The sequence below is a fragment of the Homo sapiens genome, chromosome 7 (assembly GCF_000001405.40).
Source record: "Homo sapiens chromosome 7, GRCh38.p14 Primary Assembly".
In the NCBI taxonomy this organism is placed as follows: Eukaryota; Metazoa; Chordata; class Mammalia; order Primates; family Hominidae; genus Homo; species Homo sapiens.
Window position 1 is genome coordinate 142,496,675 of NC_000007.14, and position 10,105 is coordinate 142,506,779.

A 10,105-nucleotide genomic window follows, 5' to 3' on the forward strand; every position below is an offset into this window, starting at 1 on the left:
TTCACTTATTGGCCACAAGATGGCACTATGGTCCACTGGGCTCTGGGGAGTCTGGGCGAGCAGTCTAGGAGGGAAAGGGTTAAGAAAAATTAGGGCTTGGATCCCATATTATGCAGATGTTGCAGCAGTTTTCAGTTATTGCTAGGCTACCTACAGCTATGCAAGAGGCGGGAAGTCCCTGTAATCTTTAGTGACATCTACAGTTGAAGAATTTTTGCCTTCGTATCAGGGGCGGGTGCAGAGGAGCAAATGCCTCAGAGGAACATTGGAAATTGTCTGACCAGGCAACAGCTTTAACCTGCTTGAGTGATCTGGGATTCTGCAAGTTCATAAGTCTTACTGATAACATCACCTTGGCTGAGATTCCATTGGACACCAAGTATGTGTTCTCTGGAGGGCAAAAAATATTGAGAAGTTCTAAAACACCTAAGTAAACAGACTACTGAAGGAAAATGTTAGTAGACACATCAAACTGTGCTGTTAGAGCTGAATATAATTGACTAGAAGAATTATCAAAAATAGACTATAAATAAGTCACTACTAAAGTATTTGTGGGCATAGAACAGTGTTTGAGTCTTCTCAGGGTAGATTAAGGAAGAAATTCAGCTATTATCCTCATGACCTTGGCTTGGATGAAAATGCATGGACTCCTCAATTTATTTTCTTGTAAAATGTTACAGAATAATATTGAGCAAACATTTTATTTTTCTCCAGCCTCTATCCCTCTTTAGCACTTACAGGTAGAGCAGACACCTAGACGCAAGGTTTTTTAGTTGGGATCCATTAACTGCAGGACTGGAGATCCACAGCTGGGCTTTACAGGGATTGCAAACCCCACATGCAGGGAACCCCGTGTGTCTGCGCTGTGCCCAACTCCCCTCTGTGAGGCTGCCAAAGGCGGAGGGCCGGGTGTCCCAGGACCCCACTCACAAAGAGGGGAGCAGGCTGCTTGCTGGGCAAAAAAATCACTTCACCAATTGGCCAATCTGTTGAAAGCCAAAAAGAAATGAAAGTCTCAATTGTGAGACTGATGAATGCCCAATTTCCCAAGTTATGAAACGGATAGCAGCTCATGGTTCTCAGAATGATTTCAACAGCATATGAAGATATTTTTAGAGAGCTTTTGTTTGTCTACAGCTTTCCTTGATATTGATCCTCACTTGTTTTTCAGCCCACTCATCACTTGAGCTTATTTTGTGGCCAAATTTCAATGTTGTCTATTTCAGTCACTGAGCACTTCTCACATTCTCCAAATCTTACACAGCTATGTGTGTTCCTGTCTTTTCTTCTTTTTGTGTGATTCATTTTTAAATTGGGCTGTGCAGAATACAAGCATACATTTGTAAATGACTCCCATCTTTTATGCAATTTAGCTGTTTAATTTTTAGTAATACTTTTTATTAAGGTATAATTAATAGAGAGTAAAACACAAATATTAATAGAAGGACATCCTGGTACATTTTGACAAATGCATACGCCAGTGCAATAGTAACTGAAATGATTATAAAAAAAATTTCCGTCACTCAAGAAAGTGTCATCATGCTCCTTTCTAATCAATTTCTATCCCAGGGATAAAAACTTTTCTATGTGTATCACTGTTGAGTAGCTTTGTCTATTCTTGAGCTTCATATAATGGAATCATATTTTTATTGAATTGTTTTTCTCCAAAATTAGTATTTCTGAAGTATATTCATATCGTTGTATCAGTAGGTCATTCTTATGACTAATATTCCATTGCATAAATATACTACAACTTGTTTATCCATGCTCCTGTTGATGGATATCCATGTTACTCCTGTCTTCAACTATTATGAATAAACTTGTTGTGAACATTTTTGTGGAATTCTTCCTGTGGACATATGCATTTTTTTTAAAGAAATAGACTTAAGAGTGGAAATACTGACTCATAGTGTAGATGTGTGTGCTATGCTTGCATGTCCTCACAAAATCTCATGTTGAAACTTGTCAAGGTAATGGTATTGGGAGGTGGGACAGCTATGACTAGGGTCATGAGGGATCTGCCCTCAGAAACAGATCAATGCCCTTTATTGTGGGAGTGAATTAATTATCTTGGGAATGGTCTTCTGATAAAAAGGATGAATTCAGTCATTTTCTCTGACTTCGGTGCTTGCTTCCCCTTCCTTCTGCCTTGGATAACAGCAGGAGGCCCTCAGCAGTTATTGCCCTTCTATCTTGGACTTCTCAGTCTCCAGATCTATAAGCCAAATAAAACTATTGTCTTTATAAATTGCCCATTCCATGGTATTTCTCTATAGCAGTAGGAAAGAAATTGAAAGAAAATATGGTACCTGAGAGTGAGGCTGTTGCTATAATACCTGAAAATGTAGAAGCAGCTTTGGTTAATGGGAAGTGGCTAATGGATAGAGGCTGAAAGAATTGGGAGGAGCAGACTAGCAAAAGTCTAGATTCCTGAAAACAGAGCATAAAGGGCAATTCTGGTGAAGGCTCAGGGGGAAATGAGGAACAAGGTATTGAAAATCGAAGTAAATGCCATCCTTGTTGTAAGTAGCAAAAACCTTGGCAAAATTGTGTCCTGTTCTAGAACTTTATGGAATATAAAAATTATGAGCCATTTGCTAGTATATCTGCTGAAAGAAATATCTAAGAGGCAAAGCATTCAGGCTACTGTGTGACTACTTTTAGCCACCAGGAAATTTAACCCAGCAAGAAGGGAGCCATGGGAATAGATTTTGCAAACCAGCACAGATGGTGACTCTACCTCCCTCTGCTGTCCTGTCTCCCATAAGCCAAACTCTGTGCTGTGAGCTGTTAAAGTCCAAGAATTATTTCTGGGGAATCTGTACTCTTAATAATTTACAGACAACACAGGTCTGCTTTGGATCTGATCAGACAGACTAAATCTTGGGGACTGTACCAGTGGCCACTGAGAAAAGGGGCTCGGAATGTTGTCTTGGATAGAAAAATATAATAAGAAACATTGGTGTGAATCTAGCATCAGAAAGATGACGTGAGGACAGCAAGGAAGAGCTGGAAACTGAGGTTTACTCACAGGCTCCTCACCCTCCGCTGATGGGCAGGTGTGTGAGCTCCAGCATGGAGCACCACAGCACTAGGTGGGAGAACGGTGATAGGGTGATGGGGCAGCCTGTGAGCTGGGGCAGTGTAGGCAGAGGAGGAACTGTATCACCACAGAAACTTCTGCCTTCACACATCCCTCCAGCTAGGCAGGACAGGTAGAGAGTCCAGTGTCCTGGAGCACTAGACCTAAGGAAGGCTGCATGGGGAGGACAAAGGACAGTGACATCACAGGATACCCCTCCCATCAGGAAAATCAAGGCCCAGAACTCACTCGGCTCTTCCCCAGGAGAACCAAGCCCTGAATCAGATGCAGTGCTTCCTGTCCCTCTGTGCCATGGGCCCCGGGCTCCTCTGCTGGGCACTGCTTTGTCTCCTGGGAGCAGGTGAGTCCTGGGCACAGGACAGCAGCCCCATTCTCAGCTTTCCCACCCCTGTGTCCTCCACTTTACCTTGGGGAGGACCTCCAGGCTGTCCCTGTGCTCATCCTCCATCTGCTTTTCCCACAGGCTTAGTGGACGCTGGAGTCACCCAAAGTCCCACACACCTGATCAAAACGAGAGGACAGCAAGTGACTCTGAGATGCTCTCCTAAGTCTGGGCATGACACTGTGTCCTGGTACCAACAGGCCCTGGGTCAGGGGCCCCAGTTTATCTTTCAGTATTATGAGGAGGAAGAGAGACAGAGAGGCAACTTCCCTGATCGATTCTCAGGTCACCAGTTCCCTAACTATAGCTCTGAGCTGAATGTGAACGCCTTGTTGCTGGGGGACTCGGCCCTCTATCTCTGTGCCAGCAGCTTGGCACAGCCCATCAGAGTCACTGACGTTCTGTATATAAACTTCCTGCCTTAGCTTTGCCTTGAGAGCTGCAGGCCCCACCCAGATTTCACTCCTTCAAGGGAAGCTTTTAGTTGTTTGGAAGGCATGTCTTGTGTCCTACTGAGGGCAGAGCTCTCCCAACCAATAAAGCCCAAGTTTCCTGTGTCCTGAGTGTGCCCACTTCTGTGCTGCATCTTCTTGCAGCTTGTCACCTCAGTACAAGAGTGACTGCTGAGCCCCAGATGTGTGCTTGATTATTTGCATTTCTTACATAGCTTAATGCCTTTCAACAATCTTGCACATCAAACATTCTTATTCTTCCTTTACAGATAGAAGGCTCAGGGACATTGAGTCATTTTCCCCAATGTCTCTTGGCTTGTAAGGATCAGAAGTAGGAAACAAACTAGTCCATCCATTTTCCACCTACCCCCCTGCTCCATCATCATCTTCTGCATCCTGGTCAGTAAATCAGAGCCCTCACACTGCCGTCTAGTGACCAGCAGGGCCGCAGTAGAGGCTGAAATGTCTTCAGGGGTCATTACTATGTCCTTTTCATTAGCTCCTTTGAGGAATGTTAAATTTCACACATTTTAACAATCATTTATATGCATTCCCTTTGTCTTTCCCCAGTCTGCAGCTTATATTTTCATTTTTATGGAGTTTTTGGTGCACAAGAGCTTAATTTAATGCAACAAAAACTAAAAACAATTTTGTTTGTGTGTAGACAAAAACCACTTTTTCATATAAATGTCTAAGCATATTTTTCTCAACTTATTCTACTAAAATTTAAGTTTGGATTTTCACCACTAAGAATAAATGTACCTGAAATACATCTCATGTAAGAAATAAGATACAGACCTAGGAATGGGAGGGAAGGACATATATTCAGTGAAGAAACAATAGCTTGTCAAAAAGAGCCCTAAGTGGACACCTGGAGCTGACGGTGGAGAGGTAGGTGGAGGGCAAATGAGCATGAACTTTGTCAGTCTATTGTCTTGTAGAAGAAAGACAGCCAGGAGCAGAGACCATATGGGTGAAGGTTTATGACTTGACTGTAGGTTGAAGGTTGCAGCAGGTAGAGGGAGAATTGCAGGCAGAGGGCAGAGTCACTGGCTGGCAGGGGCAGTGGCATCATCAGTTGACTCTACTGACATCTAGGATTTATGTCCCCAACACACAAGCTGAAAAACCTCCCCACAATTTCCCCATTTTTCCCTGACCCTACCATGACCACCAGACTCCTCAGTGGTGTGGCCTTTTGCCTACTTGGGGCAGGTAAGATCTTTAAAGCCTTTTCCTTGGCTCACCACATCCCAGCTTAAGCCTTTACCTCAGGTCTCCATTATTGGGGTCCCTCCTTGGGCACTCATCTTCCTTCTGTCATAAACCTCACAGAAGCTGGGACAATCAAATCCTTAAGATACCAGAGAACAAAGGCAGTACATGAAGTGGCACGGAGATGCCTGAGACTGTCATCCATGACTACATGTGTAGGTGTTAATAGGAGCTGAACCTGGTGTACAGCTGATCTGTCCCAGCCCGCAATACAGAGAAATCCCTGAGGGTCTGTGACTTTCTCTCAAAGCCAAATATGTGGCCTTTGTGTCAGCCTCTCCCAGACCTCTGTGCCCTCTTGCACCAGCAGTCACCCCACAGCCACCTTCCTCTGCACACAATGTTCAGTGGAAGATATAGGTGGCCTTGTCTTCACGAGACCATGTTCTAGGCAGTGGAAGACGTTTTCCCATAGGAGTCTCCCCAACACTGCCCAGGCTGGGGCCCTCAGATTTCTGAGCATCCCTGTGCATGGGAAACTCTGCCCTGTGTTGAGCTTCTCTCCCAGGCCAGTCTCAGCTGGACGAGGGAACGCACATCACAGTGATGTGAGCAGTTGCCGCCTCTCTCCCAGGCCCCTCCTCCAGCTCTGGCCTCAGAAGTCCTCTTCTTCACTTGCTCTCAGAAAGGAAAGTTCATTTGAAATTGTATATTTGCAGACAGCATTGACAACTTTTCCCCGTCGGCCTTCACAACTCCATCTTCCCCACACCATGCTCATGTCAGTCCTCAGCCTCCTCCACATGATGTCTGCTCCCAGCTGTCCTCTCCCTCTGCACCTTCACCTCCACGTCAACCACAGATGCCTCAGTTCAGGACATTCCTCATGCATCATGCTCCTCCCACCAAAGGCCTTTCCACTCCATGCTGTATTCTCTGTGTCAACACAAGTCTCTTCTTCTTTGTTCTTGCTCCAACTGTCAGTTTATCTACAACCATCTCTAGGGAGACACTCCTTCAACAGTTTTCCTAGGCTGCACCTCCTTATTGTAAATGCTCACAGCTTATAATATGTATTAAAATTCATAGATTTAGCACCATAGTCATTTTCCATGACTTTGTGTGACTATTTAATTGACACTACTCTTGCATTCTAGACTGTAACATGCATCATTTTACAAATTGTGGATGTTTTGTTCCCCATTTTATTGTCAGGACCAACAGCAGTTCCAATCTTGAAACTGGCCAATCTTGAAAAATGAAGAGCAGATATTGAAAGGCCGTCTGAGTACCCACTTAGATGTCTGGACGCATTAAATCGGAACCTCTATCCCTTCATCTCCTAGGATCAAATGAGTCCTGGAAACAGATGAGAAATCCCTGTCATGGATAAGTAACTGGATCCAAGCCTTTCTGCACGACTGAATTTCCTATCTGCCCTATCGCCTTCCTGCCTAATCTCCTCCTTCAATCTCCTTCCCTCACAGGTGTCCTGGATTTGGGAGTCTCACAGACACAGCGCACCTAATCACTCTGAGAGAGTGATCAGAAACATAATGTCAAACACTGACATTAAAAGGTCATGGAGAAGAAAACAAATGGCTTCCCCATGCTCTTATGGAGAGTTTTCCCAAGGCACAAATATCTCTTTGGGTGGCTTTGAGGTCATGGTGCCTGACACACTGAGCGATATTATGGGTGTCCATTTCCATGAATTGGTGGGCAATGTCAGAGACACAGAGTTCATGGTCACCAGCTTCCTCCAGCCCACACCTGATTTTGGTGCAGGGCGCTGAGCAGAGACCTTTGCTTGTTACCCTCCTTTGCCAGTTAGGAAAGGCTGATTGAGAGGCAGAGGCTCCATTTACAGAGCAGGGCTATGTGTTAGTCCCTGAAGAATTGTGAGAGCCATTCTGGGTGGAAATAATCAAATATACAATCCCCAAGAATGGCCCACGGATAGACAGAAGTCCCAATTTTGCCAGAATGATTTGCATCTATGCTTTGAAGACAAATGCAGTTTTATCTCTTTAGGCAATAAAGACCAAAAATAGACTAGTTATTTTAAATAATTGAACCTTAAACAGACCAAAGTCAGAACATCTTCCCTAGGGACAGCATTTTCTTCCACCCACTCACTAAAGCTGTATTTGAGAAAGCAGTGTGCTGTTGATAAACGCTGGAATATCGTTACAATCGACATTGTAATAATACTGCTACTTGGATCAGAAACAAAGAGCATTTCTAAAGCTTGAACAATGTAAAACTGGAAACGAGCTCTCACTGAGTTTGGAAATGCAGGCACTAGAGGGTGCTCATTTCTCTTCCTTTTCCAATCGGGGGCTATTCAAAGGCTGTTCTAGAACAAGGGGTGAGATCCTCCACTTCCCCGTGGTGATCAGGCTTTCACAGGTAGAAGCCTTATTAGTTCATAATCAGCCAAGCTGACCTCACCATCAAATGTATCGACCTCGATGCTCACCCTCCTCAGCAGTCAGAGACTGGCTGTGTTCACCAGGAGCTCGTGTGTTTTTACGGAGCACACTTTCTCCTCGGTTTATTAAAAACAAATGAGCCTTTATACGGGGTTCCATAAACAGAAGCTTTCTGTACTTTGCCCATTTAGACACTGCAAATTCTGATGCCTGATGAAAAGTGTAAACTTAAAGCTTGCATGTCGTTAAGATTTTTTAATAACCAATTTAAATAATATATATAATGAAAATGTCAATAATGCTCTCGAATCCAATCCCATGTTCCATTGGTAACCAATATTAACGCTCTGGTGTGCTTCTTTTCACCCCTCTTTTCTGTGTTCATGCACACCTTTCTACCCAAGTACACCTACAGAAAATGGGTTCACCTGTACACTTTAACTGCCAAATGTGTACTCTTTTCTGTATATCTTGGTCTTTATTGTTCCAGATTGGTTGATATAGATCTAACTTGCTCCTATTATCTGCTTCATATTGCATAATGAGGGTAGACAGGTACATTCATGCTGTATTGTCTGTTTCCTAAATTCTGCCAGATCTTTTCTAAAGTGACCAAATGGCATCTTTACGCTTCCAGGTTCTCCTCACCCCAGCACCCAGTTGATGATTCCAGCTTTTCCATCACTCATAGTCCTGGCAGGTCTGAGAGCTCCATTTGGTTTCTCCTGCATGAGGAGACAGGGAGGGATAAAAGGATAGACCTTTATCAAACCTACCAGAGACTACATGGTATCTCAGTTCATCCTCATAAAGCATTGAGGGGAATGCTAGTCTTGTTTTATAGATGAGTCTAGATGAGGCTAGAGTCCAGGAAATCAATAAATAGCCTTGCCCATGGTCTCAGAGCTAATAAATGGTGGAGGCAGATGAAGGGCAGTCGGCTTGCTTCCATGTGGAATTGATAGAGGGGTCACTGGAGTTTGAGGGAGGGGAAGTCTAGAACCATCTGGCGTTGTCTTCAGATCGGACACCAGGGTTGAGACAGTCTGTGTACCCTATAGCACCGCAGGTACAAGCATCATGGTGTTGGCAGTGGGGAGATACTAGAGTGGGTAAGTGATTAGTGGCCTGGAACTGGAAGATCTGAGCTTTGACAAAATTATTCCCATCACAACATGTAGCAGAGACACTGATGTGGATAAACTAGGTCAGGGAGCTGTGTGAGGAGCTGTTGTTAAAATAAGGGAGGGAGGAGAAGCAACTAAGTGGTCACTTCCTAACATGAAATGTAGAGGAAACCAATATTAACTAGAATCCATCTGATTTTAGTCAGTTTTCCTTTGTAAGTATTTGGAAGGTGGGATAATTTATTTTCAAGGTTAAGTAAACATCTATACATCTCCTTTATCTTTTGAAGACTGGTGGCGAAGCGAAAAATGGCACGGCCAATGGAGTCAGAGTTTGTTTAATAAATATCTCAGAGTTCAAAGAGAGACTCTCATGGGCCAGAAATTGGTAAATGTTCCTGCATTCTAAAATTAGGAGGATCTTATTTTCTTTGAATCAACAGAGAAGGAAGCACAGGCAGTGGGGAGGAACAGTTGGGAACACGGCAGAGTGGCCGCAGGATGTCAAAGACAAAGGACATGTAATATCAAATTCTAAGCTGTGAAGCTGTGATGCAACCCTCCACCTTCTCCTAATGGATTTTTTAGGTCTCAGCGCAGATGCACAGCTGAGGGAGTAATTTCTTTGGAAATGAAGGACAAATAGCTGTGTTAAATATTAATAACAAGTCCACATTACAAAGCACGCCTGGAAATGGAAACAAGATTATTTCTAAGGCCTTTTCTACTCTAAGAGTCTCTAACTTGGTGGCAAGGTGAGAGGTGAGGTTGGGGTGGGTGTTGATCCACACGCGATGAGTACCATGAGGCTCTACCATGAAGCATGTAGTTCTCAGTGTGAATCAGAGCCCTAAGAAGAATAATGCCCTTTACTTTGTTTTGTCCTGTGCCATCCCAAACCCACTCCACCCATAATTAAGCAGCCATGGAAATGAGGGTAGCCAGAAGGAATCAAACCCTGCTGCTTGGTTCAGTAGACACAGGGACCTGGGAGGAGGGTGTTGGCTGGGTCAAGGAGAAGATGATGAGCTCAGAAAATAGACAAGGAGAAACCCCAGTGGAAAGCTTGTAAAACTCTGGATGAATCACAAGATATGTTATTAGAGCTCCTTTTTATTACTAAATTTTATTTATTACTAAATTAATGGCAGGAACCCTGCACAAAGGGATATTCCCTATGAAAGATGGCATCTCAAATAAAAACAGAGCATTCTTCCTTACCCTAAAGTCTGCCCTTTCTCCCCAAGTCCCTCATGCATCAGGCCACCTTTGTGCCCACAGATCATGGGCAGCGCTGGGTGGCCATCATCATCCACACAGAGAGGGCAGTCAGCAGCATGAGCTGGTTCTGCCTGATATGGTCTCACCCTAGGCATGGAAAGCAAGAGACC

General features: G+C 44.0%; 1 gene segment (V, D, J or C) and 1 further gene, besides 3 other annotated features; both read left to right on the forward strand.

Annotated features, from left to right (window-relative positions):
• TRB (T cell receptor beta locus) overlaps positions 1 to 10,105 on the forward strand; it is a 514,277-nt gene that overhangs the window by 197,664 nt on the left and 306,508 nt on the right.
• On the forward strand, positions 3,395 to 3,860 carry TRBV5-6 (T cell receptor beta variable 5-6). The segment is given in 2 exon segments: positions 3,395 to 3,443; positions 3,567 to 3,860. Coding segments are annotated over 2 exon segments (343 nt in total), but the record flags the coding sequence as incomplete, so codon positions are not given.
• Positions 3,861 to 3,867: a recombination feature (RSS_heptamer).
• Positions 3,868 to 3,890: a recombination feature (RSS_spacer).
• Positions 3,891 to 3,899: a recombination feature (RSS_nonamer).